Here is a 22,848-nt window from a genome sequence, read left to right as displayed (position 1 = left end):
TCTTTCCACTCTCTTTCCCTGTCTACACCAGCTTGAGAATAAATGGAGTCAATGACTAATAACAACAGCTGAGATTATTTCCCTTGTCAGGAACCTTTGCATTTCGGTATGAAAGTCTTAATTCAAATGTATAAATCAAGCAGTTAGAATTTCTTCAAAAGGAGAAGTGCTACAGTTTCAAGAGAAAGCTGGCAGCAGAACCTTTGCTATGAGAATGCCCCAAAACCAGGGAACACAAACTCAAATGCCTTCAGAGGCCACATGGATAAATTAAAGAACTATTACAAATCAGGTTAGACCTGGGGAAATTCAGGGAGCACTTGCTCATCCAAAGTGGGATGCTTTCCTTCAGTTTCTTGTCTGTTGCCACATAGGAATATCAAGCCAGTGTTACCAATAGCCTGATTTTTCCATGGAAGATGAAAGTCTCAAGTTTTAAGTTAAAATTGTTTAAAATATAAAATTGTATGGGCCCTAAAACCCCTACAATTATGCATCAGATCATCCAGCCCCTGCTAAGTGATGGTCCTAAAAGAACACAGAATAAAGGGATTTTAAGTTCTTAGATGGGTCACTTTTTTTTTTCTTTCTCCTGTTTTTAAATTTTATTTATTTATTTATTTATTTATTTATTTATTTATTTATTTTGAGGCAGGGTCTTGTTCTGTCACCTATCCTGGAGTGCAGTGGCACAATCTCAGCTCACTGTAACCTCTACCTCCCAGGCTGAAGTGATCCTCCCACCTCAGTCTCCCTTTTGTCTTCATTTCACTTTTTTGACCCTGTATCAGCTGCCCGATCTATCATTTATATAGCTATTTTGATTCTTTTCTTTCTCTCTACCCTATTAACCGATCATGTAGTTATTTTGAATTTCACATCAGGAGCCACTTTATATGCATATTTATTGACAGCTCTACTTTTGGTGAACAACTGTTTGTCATAAAATACCTCTGTTGATAATAGTTCAAAATTTGGGGGAGAGGTCTAGAAGAAGTTGTCCCCATCAATGAGGCAGTAAAATACGCATCTCCTCCATGCCATAGCAAAGGTAAGGAAGTATCTATTATAGCCTTCCAGCTTCAACTAAAGCTTTCCCTTTCTTGAGTTGTTAGAACAGATAATATAATTGTCCTTAGAAGAAATTACAGGTCCAAAGAGTCTCAAATAAATTATAAATATTTAAAATTACCCAGTGTATGTTTACAGAAAACAAAATCCCTCAAAGCAGTGTTTTCCAAGTAAGTAGATCCAGAGAACTATTTCTTCCCTTATGTTCTTGGGGAAAGAAAAGGGAAGAGGGTATAGGGAGTAAGGAATTCCATGGTCAAAAAAGTTTGAGACATGCCTTTACTGCAGGCATTCCCAGAGCCTTTAATAGGCTGAAGCAAATCTTCAAGAAATGGGATCCAACATACTGCATTTCCCAAACTAACTGGATAATGCAACAGTGAATTCTGCAGGATGAGTATTCCATATCTCACACTAGAGGGATTCAACTACAGATAATGCCTAGGATCCAAGTTTCTGGAAACCTATTCTCCTCCCTGGATCAACATGTATGTTTCATTCATGGTGGCATATTTCCTTTTATGTCCCTCAATTTCATGCTAAGTACAATAAATTAACTTAGCTATTGTTTTTTAGCTTAAATCTACATTACTTTGATGGCCATATCTTTAAACTTGCCATAACCACTTTTGCCCTTCCAACGTGGCCAGCCGGTCAGGGAGGCCCACCTTGAGCTAATGCTGCCTTCTGTCACTTGAATCAAGAAGTCTGAGTTTCTCTGTCTTAACTCTCTTGGAGCTCTCTGATTTTTTTCCAGCCTTTTTTAGAATTGGTTATCAATAAGCAATATAGGTCTGGACCTTGGGCTACTACTACAACCAAAGGAAAGAAGAATGTCAGTGCAGCATTGATTCTACCAGCGCATCAATCTCTCCCTCCTTTAGCATCTCTTGTGTGTGGCCCAGATGGATGCACTAGGTTTACCACTGGATTATCTGTAAAAGCGCTGGCCGGCGCTATACCAGACTAAAAACATGCAAGTTCTGTCACCACCTGGTCATGTCAATGTTTTGTGGTTGGTCACTTAGATCAAACTGTGTTTTTTCCATTATTTTTAAATTACTTTGCCCTGAAAAGATTTGAACCATAGTACAATAAAAATTGCTTCTCAGTTCTTGGCTTTTATTTTAGCCATTTTCTATCCCTGCAAGGGGATTGCATAAATTATTAGGCCTGTAAAAATCCTACCTGTCCTGCAAAGACTGCAATTTCAGGAACTAATTTTCTAGAGATAAGGCAAGGATTTTTTCATTATTTCCTTTTGACCCTGTCTCCATGGGACTCTAAAGTCAGGCTTTCTCAAGAAAAAAAAAAATAGGCAGCAGATATGATCTCCTTCTGTTTAGATTGAGGCTATCTTGAATTTATAGTGGATTTTTTAAAAATTAAATTCTTAGTTTCTATTTATAAAATCCTAAACACTGAGCAAGCATTGTCAATCAGTAAAGCAACAAAGGTTTCTTGTTATTTATTAGATTTCCTATCTTCCCTGCTAGCAGAGACCAACGACCCAAACTGGAAAGCAGAAGTTTAGGTTCCGATAGATGTGTGGGAAAATTGGAATTTCTGCTGGCACGGTATGTGGACAAAAGGCCTTCCCCTGTATTTACTGGTAGGTTCCTCTGAACCACGTCGGACACCATAGCAACAGAGTACAGGGTCCCTATGGAAACAGGAAAAAAATTCAATGCCGGTGGCAGGGAGGGCATCATGGGTAGGTATATTTGGGAACATACCATCTGATTGTTGTCAGTCAGGCTCTCTTTGACTAGCTTAACAGGATTGTCTCACTTTTATCTCTACTCGAAAGGATCTGCTTAAATGGATCAAAAGACTATGGTTTTTTTTTTAATATTTGACAAGATCACAATTTTATCATTAAACAAGCCTGAGAGAATCAAACAAATCCAAAACAGAAGGCTCTGTCTGCCTCAAACTCCAATAAGAGGTACTCCTCCTTTCCTGAAGCTCTCCTTTTGCTTCCCCAAATCCACCCAAGGAGCCTAGCTTTCCCCTAAACAGACCTCTGCCGAAGGCTAACTCTTCTCACCCCAAAACAAGGCATCTTCCCTGCACTGCAGCTCCTCTCAGCCTAAAGAATCTGGGCCCTAAACTTTTCAGCAGGAAAAGACCAAAATGATACAAAGCCAGGATAAATAATTAAATGTGTCCTCACATAATTGTAAGGTAGGGAAAGAAACTATCTTCAGTTCAGCTCTTCCCAGAAGCCGTGCCCAATTTGCTCAAGCCTGCCAATCCCTCTCCTAATCAGACCCCCCTGTGGCTGACACTGAGGCAAAACATAGCCATTGAAAATCCTTTCCCATCCCCAACACAAAACTGTTGACAATATGATCCCGAGTTAAGCATGTCAAATATTCCAGCTCACAAAGGAAGGTAATTTTTTTCTGGGGACAATAGCAAGAACAGTAAATATAACTTCTCACTTAAATGACAGAGGTAGGTATAACAGGAGCCTTTAGCCAGGTGTGTGATTCAGGAGCCTCGGTTGCTATCTCCATGATTCCAGAATGCCACAGGATACTATGCAGTCAAATACAGGGATGGCAAATGAGGCGCACTCGGGCCACCCACTGCCACTCCAATCCCGTGGCAGAAATCACTAGTGAGTCACTTTGCTCTTTCTCTCTTAGCCCAGACACAGCCTCAGAATCCTTCTAAACACAATGTTCCAGGCAGCCACTTCCAAGAGGTAGCACTCCCTTTCCCAAAAGAAAGCTTTTTGTTAATTCCAGTCTAAAATAACATAATATTCCAATTTTAAAAAGAAGAAATAAAGGAAAACGTATTATATGGCAAACAGTTATTGTGACTCCCAAAGTGCCACCTGTGTAGCATATCTGCCTCCTGGAAGGAAAAGAGTCCTGGGTTAGTGAACTGCAGGTGTTTTTTAAGCCCTCGCCTCAAAATTTGGGCTTAAAACCCATTGTTTTCTGAAGCATGACATTCAAACAAGAGTAAAGTTCATCTACAGAACTATTTTTCATATAGACACCAACCACAGTTCCAGCTCCTTATCTGCCCACAGCCGGTTCAGTTTTACATGAAGTTGGCCAAGTTAAAAATCAGCTGTGAATATTCATTCACTGCTCTGGTAATCAATTGTCACACTCCTTTCTGTTAAGAACAGGAAATCATACACAGTTCAGTGTGTGGGAGTTAAGGCTTCTTATTTACGGTTCCAAAGTTCTCTTAACCAGTGCCAACGACAGGCAGGACACATCCATGGGAACTGATCTCTCACCATCAGAGCTGGCCTGCCAGGCAATAAAGTGAGTTACCCAGTCCCCAAACCTCTTCCCTCTGTCCTTCTTACAAGCCACACTTGCCTGGACGCCCCCATTAGAACTTGAACTTTGAGTTACCATTTGACTTTCTCCATCTAACAAAAACAGAGTTAGCAGACTTAAGTCTACCCCAAAGAAAATAATCATCAGAACAGTCCCTTCCTTTACAGCAGTATCCAGCAGGAGAAGACAAGGCATGTGGGGCAAAGAGAATGGGAGCTGGACTGGAGAAGGGACCCCTGGCCATCTCCTTTGTCCATTCACGATTCTGCTGCAAGCAGCGCTGCTTACAATGATTCGCTTTCTCTGCCATCAGTGGAGATGAAGCCAAGAACATCCGACTGAGAATGTATGGCCAGCCTTCTCTCTGGATTAACCAATCCTTCCCACAGAGGGTAGCTGCCAACTTCCCACTCTGCTCTTCTGCTGCTTTTCCTGTGAGCTTTTCCAAGTCCCATGTCACTAAATCTATAAGCAGTCCCCAACATGCTAAGAGGTCGGGTTTCAAAGATGTGTTTGGAAACCAGTTGTGTAAATTTTCTTGGAGTTATAATGTTGTAAATAATGGTTAGGTCCCTAGGGCAACCTCAATAGTTGTTCATTTATTCCAGCATGTGCCTGAATGAACCACAGTATGTGGGGATCACGAGTCTCTCTCCTTTCCATAGGTCAAGCCATTCACATATCAGTTTGGACTGCCAAGAGCTTACCTCACTGCCAGAAATCAGAGATCATTCCTCTATCCACAATGCTCATGGGAGAGGTAGGTAGTAGGAGAAGACAAGAGATTTCCCTGGCTCCAGATCATCCCTGCAAACTGCAGACAGTTGAGGTCTTGGGAAAGGAGGCCTAATGGAACTATGGGGTGAGGAGAGAATGAGCATCCGTGATGTCGATGAGTGCAAGAGCTAGGAAGGGCCTGGGCCTCCTGCTGCTGCTGCTGGGCACATCCATGGGAACTGACCTCTCTGGGGCATATGTTAGTAAAGTCTCTCTCTCAAACTGTCTTCTTTATCAGCCCCCAAATCAACCTGTTTCTCTTTCATTTGCCACTGTCCCCTGTTGCTTCTATTCATTGTTCTTATGGCTCTCTGAAGAACAAGGCAGTCTCACTGTATCTCCCACCCTGGTCCTGGCCCTAAAGCCAAAATACAAATGGTAAATAAACGCTTTTTTTTTTGTCTTTCTTTTTGAGACAGTCTCACTCTGTCGCCCAGGCTGAAGTGCAATGTCGCCATCTCGGCTCCGGCTCACTGCAACCTCCACCTCCTGGGTTCAAGCGATTCTCCTGTGTCGGCCTCCCAAGTAACTGGGATTATAGGTGTGCATCACCACGCCCAGCTAATTTTTGTATTTTAGTAAAGACGAGGTTTCGCCATGTTGGCCAGGCTAGTCTCGAACTCCTGACCTCAGGTGATCTGCCTGCCTCGGCCTCCCAAAATGCTAGGATTACAGGAGTGAGCCACCATGCCCAGCAATAAACATAAGTTTTTAAAGTGAACAGCATTATTAATGATTAGGAAATGCAAAATAAAGCTAGGTACCATTTTTCACCCAAAAGGTTGAAAGCAATAATAATACCTAGGTCAGCAGAAATGTAAGGAAGTGGGTACCCTCATACATTACTGGTGGTCATGTAAGTTGTTACAACCTGTCTGGACAGCAATTTGGCAATGTGTCTCAAAATGCATTAAGATGTGGCTAAGATTATTCCTGTCTCCCAATATCCATTTTACCCTTCCCAGAGAAATATATATATTTATATATATTTTTACTGGGCCTCTGACCACACAGACTAAAGATGCATTTGCAGCTTGGTGAGACCAAGTGACCAGTGGGATATAAAAGGAACATGATCACTGCTAGGAACCTTCCTTAGGAAACAGTTGGCATTGCCATTTGCCTCTTTCTCCCACCTATTCCGTCTGTTGATGTGTGGAGGTCAATAATGGTACATGGAAATGAAGACCATACCTTTGTAAATGTTAAAATGATGTCCCATTGCACTTTGCAAGTCTCATGGCTATGTTTGGAAGTGAAATCATGACCTCTAAGGTCATCTTGTTCACTCTCTTCCACCTTGCCTTTGGGCTCATTCCATGTGTAGTGTGAAGTTACAGGAGTGGCAGAATAAAGATGCCCTTGTAGCTTGGCGAGAGCATGTGACAAAGAGATGGTGGAGCAGAAGGGTAAAAACTGCTTGAGTCCCCTGCTGGCTTGCCTACTTCTAGGCACTACATAGCCAAATCTAATTCTAAATGATACAGTATGCATACCTCTCATTCCAGAAATTCCACTTAAAATAATTTATTGTATGAATCACTCACACATGCAAAGGGATAAATAAAATGATGCTCCCTGTAGCCGCAAAACTACGTGTGCCTAACGTTAGTATATATTAATATAGTAAAATGTAATTATAAGATTATTATTTAGATGTAATTGATAGACAAGAAAATATGTCTACAATATAATACAAATGAACAAAGCAGCTTACAAAAAATATGCATGGCATAACCTACAAATTTATATTGAATTTAAAGAAATGGAAATATATCCGGAAAGATACAAACAAAAATGGCAGGACTATGAATGATTTATTTTCTCTTTTTGCTCATCTGTTTTCCAGTTTTTTACACAGATAAAAAAATAGCTTCAGTATGAAAAATAATTTTAGGTAATTAAAAAATATATACAACAAAAAATCCAATTTACTCTTTTAGTTATTTTTTAAAGTACAATTAAATTATTACTGACTATAATCACCCTGTTGTGCTATCAAACACTAGATCCTATTCATTCTATTTTTTTCTACCCATTAACCATCCCCATTTTCCCCCTACCCCACCCCCACTATCCTTCCCATCCTCTGGTAACCATCATTCTACTCTCTACCCCCATGAGTATAATTGAATTGTTTTCAACACAAATAATAAATGCTTGAGGTGATGAACACCCCATTTACCCGGATGTGATTATTACATATTGTATGCCTGTGTCAAAATATCCCATACACTCCATAAATATATACACCTACTATGTATCCACAAAAACTACAACTTCAAAATTTTTTTAAAAATCAATGAAAAAAATATATATACAACAAATTTATGTCTTTTTTGAAGTGGCCTAGGTGTTTTACTTCTGATAAACAGTGTAGCACAGTTGAGAAGGGAAGGGCCCAGGGGTCTTTCCCTTCCTTCCACAGTTTGTATTTCATTCCTTCTGTTTAGTACAGACTGAGCCCTGAAGAACATCAACAGTGATTTACTCATCCTTCAGTCTTCGGTGTGCCTGCTGCTTAGAAAGGAAGGAGAGAAGAAGGGGAAAAAATGGAGGAGAGACAAAAGGAGGAAGAGAACCAAGGAAGGAAGAAAAAAGGAATGGAGGGCAGGAAGGGGCAGGGAGAAAAGAAGGAGAAAGTGAAGCAAGACAGGCACAGCAATTGGGAGGGAACAGACATTAACAGACAAGCTTGGGACACACAATATTCAAGACAACTTGAGTTATACAAATTTTTATCTTAGGAACAAGGTCAAAATTCTAAATTAGAGAACTATCTGGAGCCTTGGGCAGGCTGAAAGGTGGGGACAAAGAAATGGGAAGTGTCTAGAGATTGCTGATACTGCAGATGAAATTAACACCCTGGAGAAAGAGCTACACCAGTGTCACTGGTGTAACTTCAGACTATATGTGAGATGAGCCCAAAGGCAAAGTGGAAGAGAGTGAACAAGATGACCTTAGAGGTTGTGATTTCACTTCCAAACATAGCCGTGAAATTTGGAAAATGCAATGGGATATCATTTTAACATTTACAAGAAATAAAGGACCACACATCTTATAAGATTTTCATATAAGAATTATATTAAAAGAATACATAATTCTGTCAGTTATCATGGTACTTAGGCCAAAAATATTTACATATCTCAATGACCAAAGATATGCACAAAAATTTAATCAATCAGAGTAGCCAACTGGATTGAGAGTTCTAATCTAATTTGAAACTAGTACTAGGAAATAATATGTCTTACATTGAATGAATACTGGGTACGCCATCTAGAACAGGTGGTAGGTTCAGTATGATCCATCAAGGTAGTAGTCAAGGACCATGTTCTCTGATATTTAAAATCTTCAGAAAAAATATTGTGTAGCCTAAAAAAAACAAAAAAAAAAAGGAAGTCCTGTCCCATGCTGCTACGATATGGCTGGACCTCAAGGACATTATGGTTACGGTAAGTGAAATAAGCCAGTCATGAAAGGACGAAGTCTGATTCCACTTATATGAAGGACTTAAAGTAGTCAAAATCATAAAAACATAAAGTAGAAAGGTGGTTGCCAAGGGCTGGAGGTGGGTAGGGGTAGTTAGTGTTTAATGAGTCTAGAGTTTCTGTTTTGCAAGACAAAAATGTTCTAAAGATATGTTGCACAAAAATGGGACTATATTTAATACTGCTGAATGGTACACTTAAAAATAGTTAAAATGGTAAATTTAATGTCATGTGTTTTTACCGTATAAAAATAAATATCAAGAAATTCAATGAATTGAAGAGACTACCAAACTTATATTAAAAATTAAACCAAAAATTATGAGGTGATGCTTAGAAGGTAACTATCTTTCAACCTTGTGAAGATTTTCAGTTAAGCACAGAAATGTGAGAGAGAATCAAAATCTATAGCGTTCATATTTTTAGTTTTAAGAGGACATTTATAATATTTAAGAGAATGTGGTCCGTAGAATAAAAGGTCAGCTTACTAATTTTATTCTTTAAATGTATACTGGAATAATTGATTTTAAAATGTTATTTTAAAGTTTAATCTTACTAATACAAATTTTTTTTTGAGATGGATTCTCGCTCTTGTCACCTTTCAAAGCGCTGGAATTACAGGCGTGAGCCACCGCATCCAGCCTATATTTTAACATTTTAGAGTTCATAAGATTTCACCTTATTTGTAAGTTGGGCTTATTAGATTTACAAAAATTATTTAAGTATATGGGAAGGTTTGTCAGCCTGGAAGCTGAATTATTTAAAATGAAAATCAAATCTATTAAATGTACGAATTCCATTTTAAAAATTTGAAGGTGTTTAAGTTTATAAAACATTAGTCAAAGGCTTCTTAATGTGTTTGTTAAATTTGTTAGACCAATGAATGAAACATCTGCCAGCTGAATTTTGCTTAAGAAGCAACTATGTTTTTGGATTTATAACTATAGTAAATCAAATACTAATTATTAAAAACAAAGTAAATCTCTGAATAGGCTTTTTCATATTGCATATACGTGTGTGCACATATGCACCCACCTACACATATAGAAGCACACAAACTTCACGTTTAACAAATACTGAATAGTAGTTAGCATATTTGGGTGACCTGGCTTATTGTATGAAAAATTCATTGCCTTTGTAGTTTGAGATAAAAAAATCAAAAAAGTATTTTTGATATAAAAATAATTCTACATTTAAATTTGATTGCATTTCCATTTTAAAATAGCTACATGTGTTACAAAGCTAGAATCAGAAAAAGAAGGCAGGCTTTTTCATTTCAGGGACACTCTTCTGCTGAGAGAAAAGTAAAAGACAATACATTTTATATGACTAGAAAGGAAGATTTGATCATATTTATTATCTCTAATCACAGTAGTCATAAGCACATGGATATAAGCAAATGGATCATGGTGCATAGTTTAGCAAGTCAGTTTGATATTCGTGATAAAGAATTGCCATGAGAATTACTTTAAACCTCATGAAAATCTTATGGCTTAATATTTACTCAACTTTAGAGCTACAGCAGAAGAATTCTTATCTTCTAATTGAAATCCAAACATCACAAATATTACTAAAATCAAGTCCAGAACCATCACTTTCAGTTAGTTAATACTGTACATGCAAGTCTTTTGCATTTTTCAAAACACTTTAATATATCTTACTAGATCCTAACAGCAACCCTACATGATTAATAGGCATGAGAACCCATCTTACAGATTAAGAAGTGAGGTTCACAGAAATCAAGGATGTTGTGTCCCAGGGACATTACACATGCAGGGTAGCTTTGGGATTTGAACCTAGGTTTAATTCATGTGTTTTCTCCATTCTATGTTAACAATCTGAACTGAACTTTTTTTTATTGGAGGCCAAAAGGGAGAGATAATAAATATAACAGTTTTCCTTGGAAAACTATACATTGGTCATGTGCACTCCACTTAGGATGTCCATATTTGAATTTACAGTCAAATGATGGTTATATGTTGAAAGCAGAGAATAGTATCCAGTGATTTCTCAACCATAAACATTTAAACTAATCATACTTCTTGCTTCTCTAACTCCCTAACATAACTATAGTTCCTATACATGCATTAGGATTAATGTATATAACAAAAAAGTGTTGGTTAACTCTAAGCCATCCCATGAAGAACCACAGAAGTCTCTCGAATACATAAATATTTATTATAAAAACTGATATGTGTTAATGAAAATATATTGGAATGTGTTTGGATCAATATTTATTTAGGTACAAGAACTGAGATTTAAATAAATAGCAATTTTATAAGAGGCAGTTATGTGACATTAAAAAACATACAATATATATGTATACACACAACACAAACACATATATACAAGTACACATATGTATATGTACACACACACATATATTACAACTATTTCATTCCTCTGGACATTTCTCAATTTCATTTCTCTGAGGATTTCTTTATTAATGCAGGTGGAGCATCCCTAATGCAAAAACCCAAAAGCCAAAATGCTCCAAAATCTGAAAATATTTTGAGTACTGACATGAAGCCACAAGTGGAAAATTTCATTCCTGAGCTCCTGTCATAGGCAAAACAGTCAAAATCTTGTTCCATACACAAAATTATTTAAAATGTTGTATAAAAATACCTTTAAGCTGTATGTATAAGATATATATAAAATATAAATTAATTTCATGCTTAGACTTGAGTTCCATCCCCAGAATATCTCATTATGGATGTGAAAATATTCCTAAACTCAAAAAAATCCAAAATCTGAAACACTTCTGGTCTCAAGCATTTTGGATACTCAACCTGTACTTAAAATTCTCCAAATTATTATGACCAAGAACGCAAAAGCAAATGCAACAAAAACAAAGATAAATAGATGGGACTTAATTAAACTAAAAAGCTTCTGCACAGCAAAAGAAATAATCACCACAGTAAACAGATAACCCACAGAGTGGGAGAAAATCTTCACAATCTATACATCTGACAAAGGACTAATATTCAGAATCTACGAGGAGCTCAAACAAATCAGCAAGAAAAAACAAACAAACAATCCCATCAAAAAGTGGGCTAAGGACATAAATAGACAATTCTCAAAAGAAGATATATAAATGGCCAACAAACATATGAAAAAATGCTCAACAGCACTAATGATCAGGGAAATGCAAATCAAAACCATAATATGATACCGCCTTACTCCTGCAAGAATGGCCATAATTAAAAAATTCAAAAATAATAGATGTCGGTGTGGATGTGGCGAAAAAGGAACACTTCTACACTGTTGGTGGGAACATAAACTAGTACAACCACTATGGAAAACGGTGTGGAGATTCCTTAAAGAACTAAAAGTAGATCTACCATTTGATTCAGCAATCCCACTATTGGGTATCTAGCAGAGGAAAAGAAGTCATTATACGAAAAAGATACTTGCACATGCATGTTTATAGCAACACAATTCGCAATTGCAAAATTAAGGAACAAGCCGAAATGCCCATCAATCAACAAGTAAAGAAAATGTGACAAATACATACATACATACATACACACCATGGAATGCTACTCATCCATAAAAAGGAATTAAATAATGACATTTGCAGCACCTGGATGGAATTGGGAACCGTTATTCTAAGTGAAGTCACTCAGGAATGGAAAACCAAACACTGTATATTCTGTCTTATTAAGTAGGAGCTAAGCCATGAGGATGCAAAGGCATACGAATGATACGATAGGCTTTGGGGACTTAAGGGAAAGCGTGGGAGGTGGGTGAAGGATAAAAGACTAGACGTTGGGTACAGTGTACATTACTCGGTTGATGGGTGCACCAAAATCTCAGAATTCGCCAATAAAGAACTTATTGATATAACCAAACACTACCTGTTCCTTAAAAAACAATTGAAATAAAAGAAAAATCTCCAAATCAAAAATAATGAAACATGTCTAAATTCTTACCACAGATCAGGCAAGAATATTAATCTTAAAGGATGAACAAATTTAGAGTCTAATTAAATTTATAAACAGAGTAAAACCACCACAAGGAATCACAGATTTCTTCCTGTCCTAGTAATATTTTAATTAAAAAATTTCCAATCCTTTCTTTTTTTCTAATCACATTCTAAGAAAAGGCTTCTAACCACACTGTTGCCCACACTCTCTGCTCTGGTCTTTCCTGCCTGATGACATGCATTGGTCTTTCGGACAGACAGCCTTGTTAGTCAAAGTCTGCTCTGTGGACCAGGAGTTCCACACAGCCTGAGGGTTCAGTAGAAATGCATACCTTTGGGCCCCACTCTGGACCCATGGAATCAGAATCTGCATTTTACCAGCCTCCCCAAAAGTTCTGTGTGCTCATTCCAGTCGGAAGCAGAGCCAGTCTCTTCATCATGCTCTATATACAAGAAAACTAGAGTTTTTTCTCCAAGAATCTCCACAGCTGACAGAATGAAGAGCCATTCAGTGACCACCTGCTGCTTCTATTGCACATAAACATGAAATGAGAGCCTCGTCCTGGGACAGTTTCCATGTGAATCTACATGAAAGACTAACTCCAGGACGCTCTGGCCCTCAATGTATTAATATGAAACTTAAAATCTTCAGGATCTTTCTGAGCTACTGTCCTTTTCCCTGGAACCTTGACACTACAGAGAAGGCAGGAGCACCTGACTAGGCTGCCTTGCTAAATTTCCCAAAAGTTTAGAAACTGCAGCAGTAACAACAATCCTGAATATCCACTAACGATACCTGTAAGGTCAGCGATCAGTCCTCTGGTCGATGTAGACAGAATCACCGCATGTGTAAGATCTATTTACTTAATTTCTCTAAAGTTCTTTGTTTTCAAGAACATTTTAAAAATCCAATTTCAAAAGAAAAGAGATTTTTACTAATTTTAGTCACCTTAAAAAGAGAGATGGAATTGAACATAGAGAACGGAGAATTTTCTCAACTTTTTTTTTCAAGTCGAAATTATTTAATACGTATGTTTTATTTAAATATTTGAAGTCATGTAATGAGATGCAGCTGAGAATTTCTTGACAACATGTGACATGGACAGGAGTTGGATAATCCTTGGTTCATAAGCTACTCTGCCAATTTCAGTTATTTTATTTAGGTAAAGCATCTCATTCTCTGTTCAGCATAAATATCTGCATCCTCCTCCTCCACTCATCACCGATTGATCAGAATAAAAAAGTTATTTAATTTCTCAAAGCCACATTTTCCTCATCTTTAACATGGGTACGATTATATCTGCCTCATAATGTTTTAGAAATTTTATAAGATAATGTATATACCTGGTATGTAGTAAGCACACAATAAATTTAACCATGACTTCGTTGTTGTCTGAAATGCATTAAAAAAGATACTTAGACTGCAAAACTCTTTGATGGCAGAAAGTATGTCTGGCTCATATATACATACATAATCTTTAGGGTCTAGCTCACTGGTTTTTACATTGTAGGTCAATCAATGCATGTTTTATTCAATTGAATTGAATCTACTGTGTTGAGTCTGATTTTTCCTGTGAAAGAGGAAATGACTACGATAAAGGAACAATGACTTCCTTTATATGGACAAGTAGAATAGAAACCTGCTTTTCTCCCAAAACAAGTTAAACTAAGCTGCATGGTCCTACCACCATCCTGGTGACATCTACAAGCTGTCCTTATGGTTCTGAGACTGGCACTATTCCATAGACTCCTTCACAAGGTGAGCCTGGCTCCTGGAGGCCACTCAGCTCCCCTTCCTCAATCATAGCTGACTTTGAACTGGCAGCCCACTCTTCAGTAAAGTCTCTGGAGCCTAGAGAAGATGACTTTTTTTTTTTAAGAGACGGGGTCTCCCTATGTTGCCCATGCTGGTCTCGAATGCCTGGGCTCAACGGATCCTCCCACCTTAGCCTCCCAAAGTGCTGGGATTACAGGCATGAGCCACCATGCTTGGCCCTGAGAAGATCATTCTTCACCAAACATATCCCTGACAATTTTCTAATGAAGAGCTACTTTTAATATTTGTGAAGTGTTCTGATCTCTGAAAGTGGGAGGAGTGGGTGAGGGGAAGATAAGAACCAAAAGGACATGTCACTAACACTTGATAACGAAGACAGCCGGTCAGGTCCCCACAGGAAACCTCAGAAAGCTGTGGAAAGAGGGTGAGGCAGCTGGCAGTTCCATGTCAAGCCTCCAGAATGACCATCTACAGTGGGGTCTATCATGGAGGAGCGGGTGGGGCAGGATGAAACAGAGGTGGGGAGGGAGGGGAAGACAGGACCTGCTCTCCTGAAGGTGCTACTTGAGTACATAAAAGAAACTTGTTTCAAATACAGGTATTTGCATTAAATCATCCTTGTTTTCCTTCTAGGTAAACTACCAAGAATTAATTTGAAATGATGACTGATTCCTGTGTTTAATTTATCTTGGTGACTGGAAACAGTTAAGAAAGGTGACCATGTTATCTGTCTGGCAGCAAAACTTGGTAGAAAAAAAGAGACTATGAAAACACAAACAAGAATCATGTATTTTTTGTTCCTTCTCTATCTACAAGCTTGCCTCACTTGTGCCAACTGTGAAGAGTACAGAAAAGTCACTGGGAGTCACCTCCAAGAACAAAGAAGCGTAACAATTGTTGGGCGGGGTGGGGGTGTGGGGAAGCAATGAAATCAAGACATCAGAGTGGAGAGACACAAAATATTTTAGAGACCAGAGACCAACAGCTTCCAGGCCAGTGAGACTAGAGAGTAAGCTGATTAAATATATTAGCATATCTAAAGGAAAAAATATTGCAGTCTCAGGGGCAGTTGGTCAGCAAGAGGCCTAGAAAAAAGGAGAATTTTTGAGGCAAATGCTAGAGGTGTCCATTCAAGCAGTTTGGGGGATGCTTTGCAAGCTGTCTAGCAGGAGAGAAAATGTATTTTTACCCATGTAATTTCAGGCGTGATAGTGCCAGTGGAATTGCCTAACTTTCTAAGAAGGGCTGCACTACTGAGTTAAAAAACGGAGGTGTTGAATTATGCGGCTGATGCCAGGAAACATTGAAGCTGTCTCTCTAACTGAGCTTGCTTGGATCTACACCCCCCCACCAGCTTGCCAGTGAAATCTAGCATCCCACATGCCAGGCCTTCAGGGAGAGAAGGTATGGCCAGAAGACAGGCACAAGCACCTTTCCAAGTTTTGTATGAGTTAGGAAAATAGCATCCTGGCTTCATATACAAATTCTATGACCCCTGGGTTAATAGAAATGTGTGCTGGGAGACAGAAGTACTCTCTTGGTATGTTGATGGTTGTGCTTGTAAGGTTGAACCCAGGTAAAGGCATCAAGATAATGTCACTGAAGGCCTCTGGGAAATGGCCAGCCTGAGTGGCCAGGCCTCCCCAATCCCCACCCCTGTGTGTACTCCACACTGCTTTCTTTTGAAAATTTCCCATCAGCCTGGGCCACTGAGATCTGCTCATGATTATTCTCTAAGATGTTTGATTATAAACATGTAATTTTTCTTATTCAGCATCATTATTAATCAAAGAAATGCAAATTAAGAAAAAATTAGTGAAAGGAAGATTGGCTCAGGGTATAAGCAAAAAGCCATTCTCATTTACTGCTGGTGGGTATTTAAATTAGAAATACATCGAAAGTCTTAAAATATGTACACTTCTAATCCAGCAATTCTACTGCTAGGAATTTATCTTTACTTAATGAAGGATATGAACAATTATTTAACCACAATGATGTCCTTTAGAGTAGTTTACGATAGGTAAAATTTGGAAATTGTGTGACCATTCAACAGCTGAGATTGATTAAACAAATATTTATAATGCAACAATATACTGACATTTGCAATATGTTACAGAAGTATAATTACTGACCAGGAAAAATATTCACAACGTATTTTTATTTTCTTCTTTTTGCTTAGTTACATATTCTAATTTTTCTTTCTATGAACATGTATTATTAAATATAGCCCTGATTCTGAATCCAAGCTAAGGAGCTGCCCCTGTCTGCATACAGAATAGAATCCAGGGGTTGGAAGAAAGACGAGATATGTACTATTCCAAGCCCTATCTCTGAGACAGCAAAGGAACCTCCAAGACGTATAAATGGTTTATCTGAGGCCACCCAGCCAAGTGATGGTAGAACCAGTGATATCACTGGGCTTTCCAGATTCTTAAGCTGAGATCTATCCAGTCATTCCTGGTGCCTCCAAATTACAGCAGAACCTTCTCTCTGTGCTACTCAACATCAGCATCTCAACTCAGAAAGCAGAGCTGTCCCTCTACCTGTGTGTTGAGCCATAATACTCAAATAAAATAGTCTTTAATGATCTCTCTTCTAAGTGACCTATACACAAAGAAAGAAATCTCAATTGCAAACTGCATCTCACATGCATCTCATATTCTAGGATTCTCTGAAGTGTGTCATAAGATACGAAACTTCTCTCAAGACATCTCAGAATGAACTGGTGAAGTGGGGAGGGTAGAGAAGAGGGAAAATGACAATGAAAAGAAGTTCTATTTTGTGATGCAGACTTATTGTCATTTTTTAATGTGAAAACTCCTCTACATTTAATAAGCCTCATCATTCTGTGCACCAGAAAAGAATATGCTGGCCTCTCGGAAGTTGACTCAGGTCAGCTGCAGGAAAGTTAGGTCTCTGTTCTCTTCTGGGACCCAGGTCCAATGAGTCCTGACCAATTTCCAATGAGACATTTATTGAAGAATTATAATTTACATCACCACATCCGGCCTTGAATCATCTTTCTGTAACAGCTGTTTTCACCTTAAGCAACATTCATTTGGAGACTTTGGATAAGACAGGAGGACAGAGTTAATGTTTCCTTCATTACACAAGCCAAGGAAAAGTAGCAACCAGAGGGAAAAGGAATGTTCCAAGACACCCATCTCCCCAGACCTCTGTCTCAGCTGCTATTAATGGAAGCAAACCAGCACTGGGAAAAACTAGCGAATCTCAAAGGGGTGACAGTCTTACTTACGGACACACATTTCCCCGCTTTCATAAAATCCAGGACAACACTGAGACTTGCGCCTATACATAGTCTTCTCCCCATGTCGATAGGCTGTCCGATAGCTGACTCTATAGAGAAGGAAAAATTAGCTATTAAACATAATAAAAGTCTGAAAAGCAAAGTATTTCAAACTAGTTATGAAGAAATATGGAATACATGTCTAGACCAATATAATACTAACTCATCAATTTGCTAAGAAGATATTAAGATTCCCTATTGAAGCCAATCTATGCTTTATTTTAAGGGGTCAGTAGTTTCATGATTTCCCTCTTTCACTTATCTTAAGATATGTTGAAAAGTATTGATTAATTCATATATGATACCCATCAAAGCATCATTCACTTACGTATGTTTTAAAGGAAGAATTCAGAGAATTCCCTTAAAAACCTTAGGGCAGTCTCATCCCATTATAATATAGAAGACTAACAGACAAAAGACCTCTCCATTGAACTAAAGTGCCATTTATTCACTGATTCACTTACATAGCATGTGTTTATTGAGCACTTACTATATCCTGGGCACTGTTCTAGACACTGGGGAAAGAGCAGTAAGCAAAACAATACAAATCCCTTGCTCTCAAGGAACTTACATTTTACTTGGGAAGACAGATCTGGCTGAATTTGTTAAAGTAAGGACATGCATTAAACAAATGATTAGATCATATAATGGCAGGTAATGATTACATGCTGTGAAGAAAAATAAAGCCTGAGTCAGGGAATAGAATGTGACAGGCGGGAAATGCTAATTTACACAGAGTGGCCAAGGCCAGCTTGTGTGAAGAAATGACATTGAGCATAACATCATTTAGTGCAGTACAATCAGCAGATGCTGCACTCAAGGCATAACTCATACACTATAAATGTTAGTATACTACCAATAAAATTAGGGCATCAGAGTTCCCTTCTATATTAACATTAATATTTAATTATATTTTAGTTTTGTTTCTGTGTTCACATTTATAGAAAAAAAATACATCTTGTTTTACTTAAGGGTCAAATTTAAGTTAGCCTAAATTGAGTCAGATGTTCAACTGGAAACATATGCGAAGATATGAATTGCTTGACATCTGCTGCTGTCCATAGGTAACAGTGTCTCCCCCAGTTATGCGCAACACAGAGGCTAGATGAATTCTTGTTAACAAATGATGGTAAACAGCAGACACTTTCTCTGCAGTTAGGCTGTAAGCTCCTTTAGGGCATGGGCTACCTTTCTGCTTTTCTACATCCCCTGTGATTTGGCACAAAAATAAGACAGGAGCAAGCCCTCAATACCTATTCACTGAATGAATGGATGCACTTTCTGCTGTCATTAATATCTCTGTATTAGAATCTATTCCCAGTTAGCCAAACTCACAAACATGCCTGAGCTTCTATTACCTGTGCCGCGTGCATTTAAACCAGTTTAGAATGTCAGTGCAGCTCGTGTAGTAAATTTGATCAAAGGGATGTGGGTATGACTCTTGCACAGTCACTGAGTAGCTGAAAAGAAATGGAAAAATAAGAAATCAGTATTTCTCTTTTTTAAATTAATAATATACTATGTATTTAAAAGTTTGTAAGCTAAATTATCTCCATTTGCAACTCCATAGTGACTTTTAACAGACAATTTCCATGTTTTTATGGGTTTTTATTTAAACTAGAACCCCAAAAGGATCAATTTTAACAATACATTTAAAATACAACGATTTGTGCTGTAAATTTTAAAGAAAATTCTCTTTTACTCCTCACTATAAACCCTAATATTCCCAAATTTAAAAATACCACTCCGTATTTTTCTGCATTTAATTCCCTCCTCTTACCCCAGGGCTCAAAGCATAACAAAGATCATTCACAGAAGGTTTTCATTCTAAGTCTGCATGCAAATAATGTTACTCAGCAAAGAAACAATTCAAGTAAAGTAATAGAGTGCATTTTGCTACTGATTCTTAAAATATCAGAAAGAACATATTTTTCTCTAGTTGGAACTTGGAATAATTTGATTTCAGGCAATGGAAGACTATACAGTATACAACAACTAAATAAATACTATAAAGTAGTCTTTAAACCTGGTTCTAAACATATGGCTGAGACAATTAGCCTAAAATAATCATACCAACAGCTTGCTACTACTTAAATAGTCTGTTTTCCAATACATTTTCACTAACAGGTTCTTCTTAGAGTGAAAACATACAAGCCTATGGGCCTAAGAACATGGGTGGAAAACATCCATGAAATATGAAGAATACTCACTGTTGAATTCCAGACTTCTTCATTTTAAACAGTCTATTACATGCTAAAGAGCTTAGTGTCTGCCTATAAGAAAACGTGGATAATCTTCTCCAAACAATTTATTCTATTTGCTTTAATTCTCTTAAAGATTTTCAGTAAAATCTTTAATTCACACAAACAAAAAAATGGGCCATAATCACAGACTCATTTGCTGCAAATCAATAGCCCAAGTTCACTAATAGGAAGGAAGGAAGTTAAAATGCCAGCATGAAGAATTCAGGTTAGACAGAACCTTCTCATTTGAAAAGCTATGTGGTGCTAGCCTCACAAACAATGGGTTTTCTTTCTGCAGCTGGTCTCTGGTAGTCATTATGTATCAGGCTTCAATAGGACAGCCATGAAGTAATCGTACTATTCATAGTTTTGTGTATTTCATTCTTTGGAATATTGCAATTTATTTCTAGGTAAATTTAGGGACCCTTCATAAATGTTGGGCAATGAAACAGGCTCTGTTGAAAAGAGCACTGGATTAGAAGGTTATAATTCTGTACTGACACTGAGAAACTGGGAGATGTTCAGCAGATAACCTCACTTCCCTGGGTCCTCATGATCACGTTTTAAAATAAAAGGAGTCAGAGATGGTGTTGAAGATCCCCTCTTATTTAGCATCCTGAATCTCTAACATATACTTTAGATGACTGTTTCTTTCTACCTCCAACAAATGTTACCCATTGCTACCTGCAAAAATAAGTTCAGATGAGGATACAGTGTGCAAATGCCTGCATGCTATGATATAACCCTTTTGGGTAAAGCAAGAGGCCCCTGCTAAAATATTAATATTCTTGGAATGACATATCACATTAAGCTATCTGTATTTTCTTCAGAACCCTAGCGGTGTCCTGAGGTTCTAAGACTTCCTTACCAATATTTTTTCATCCTGTGAAATTAAATAATTCAAATTTAAAGCTATTGGAACTTTAAATTATTTTGAGCCTTGAGAGGAATATAACTATGTGGCCTGAGTCATGCAGCAGGCAGCTGCAACTTCTTTTTCCTATAAATGATTAGAAATAACCAAATGGCATCAGAGATAAGACCCCCTCAGATCATTACCCTTCCTCATGAAATGTTGAAGCAATCTTCCTTGAAATGTAGCAAACTGTAATCAATCAAATCACTGTAACATATGTACTGGCTTTCTATGGAAAATGTCGAACCTTACTAAACTTCTCTGTTTCTGCCTATATAGGTGAAACTTTAACTTCCCCACTTGGGAACACTGAGCCCATTCCTTTGAAGTCTGTTTTCTGTATGGCCGTCCTCAAATTTTGCGCCCGAATAAACTCAATACTTAATCATATTTTCTGACTCTCATTGTTTAAAGTTGACACTTTCTATCCAGCTGCTTGTAAATAGCTGAATCTTAAGGCCTACAGCATTATATCTCTGTTCCATTTCTAGTGGAGAACAAAGTGAATGAACGTCCTCTGTGTATACAACTGGTGTACAGGTACAGTCCTACATCACCTATGAGCAAAATAGAGCAACTTACCACATATGCTATAAGAACAAAAAAGAAGCCACTCTAAATTAATGCCAGTTGGGAGAAAAAACTTATTCAACCAGTCTCTACAGTACTAATTTAGCTGAACTAAATTCATTTGTTGGAACTAGACCTGATACAGAGTTTCCAGAAAATTTCAAAGGCCATGTTATGATATTCAAGTCCGTGTGCCTTGGAGTGCAAAATGTTATCATCAGTAAATGCATCCTGGCCAGTTCTATTTGATGTGGATGGAAGAACCAATTCCATAAGCAAACAAGTAAAATGTTTTCACTGGTTTCTAGGAACCAAAAAGAGTTTTTAAATGAGAGGGAATGTTGGAGTACATAAATTTCCTCTTCTTGTCACTTGCTGCTCACCAATAGCTCTTTTATTAAAAGGACAATCAAAGTATTTAGGATTTCAATTCAACAAACATTTATTGAGCAACTTCTATGCAATTCCTGCCCTCAAGGAGCTCTCAACCTAATGAGAGACCAATATTTAAATGCTGAAAGTAATACAATATAGCTTTCCATGGAGAAATATATATAGCTTGGGGGAAATAGGAGTATAAAATTCATTATGTTTTGAGTATTTCTCCTCAATCTTGGCTTTACTCATTAAAATTATTTTGACACTCAAACCCAGTACAGAACTGACTGCATATAAATTATTTTGAACTATATTAAACTATAGTACAACTAATTTAACTATGTTAAACTACAGTTCAACTAATTTAACTATAGTTAAATTACTGTATAAACTTAAGTGGACGCTTCAGTTTCTGACCAATGATAATTACCTGCCTAATTATCATCGGTCAGAAACTGAAGCGTCCACTTAAGCTTATAGGAGAAAGGTACTAAGCCTTTTCAACATGAATTTCTTTTCTGTTGTTTCTTACACATTATTTTTCTTTCTATACAGTTTTTCCTTTTTTTCATTTGTAAAGGTATTATAATCACACTATGGAATTTGGAAAACACATTTTTAAAAAACAGAGCAAGAGACAGAACTCCATAGCTCTCACATAACCACCAACAGCATGTTGTTGTGCTTCTTTACAGTTTCCAGGAGGTTTTAGTTTTTGGTTGAGGGTATTTCTAAATTCTTAGGTTATAATAATCATGCCATGCACATATTTCTAAAACATTCTTTTTTAACTTGAGTATATCATAAGCATTTTCCCATGTTAGTACATAGTCTTCAAATTATGACTGCCAAATACTTTGTAAGTGACTACACCTATTTTGCTCAATACCCACCAATCATTAGGCAATTAAGTTGTCATTCTTCAAGGGGTCCATTTTCTGGAAGCGATGTGTTTGAATCATGAAGAAAAGTGTCTTCAAGAATGGGCCTGCCTCCTCTGGTCTTTATCACGGCCACTATGGCCAGTGCTTAGGCTGCTGATGGAACTTAATTAGTTCCTCTGCTAACACTCCATACCTCCACAT

General features: G+C 37.6%; 1 protein-coding gene across 6 annotated transcripts in view; it reads right to left on the bottom strand.

Moving 5' to 3' along the window:
- The window catches only part of MEGF10 (multiple EGF like domains 10), a 231,923-nt gene that overhangs the window by 102,987 nt on the left and 106,088 nt on the right, over positions 1–22,848 (bottom strand). For all 6 annotated transcript variants that reach the window (XM_017009987.2, XM_011543694.1, NM_032446.3 and 3 more), the window contains 2 exons: positions 19,015–19,116; positions 17,606–17,706 (listed from right to left, as the gene is read on the bottom strand). In XM_017009987.2, the coding sequence (XP_016865476.1) occupies positions 17,606–17,706; positions 19,015–19,116 (203 nt within the window). The remainder of the gene's footprint in view (positions 1–17,605; positions 17,707–19,014; positions 19,117–22,848) is intronic.

This window comes from Homo sapiens, chromosome 5 (genome assembly GCF_000001405.40).
Source record: "Homo sapiens chromosome 5, GRCh38.p14 Primary Assembly".
NCBI classification, from domain to species: Eukaryota; Metazoa; Chordata; class Mammalia; order Primates; family Hominidae; genus Homo; species Homo sapiens.
The sequence above is the reverse complement of the archived record's forward strand: the minus strand, read 5'-3'. Positions and strand labels throughout refer to the sequence as shown.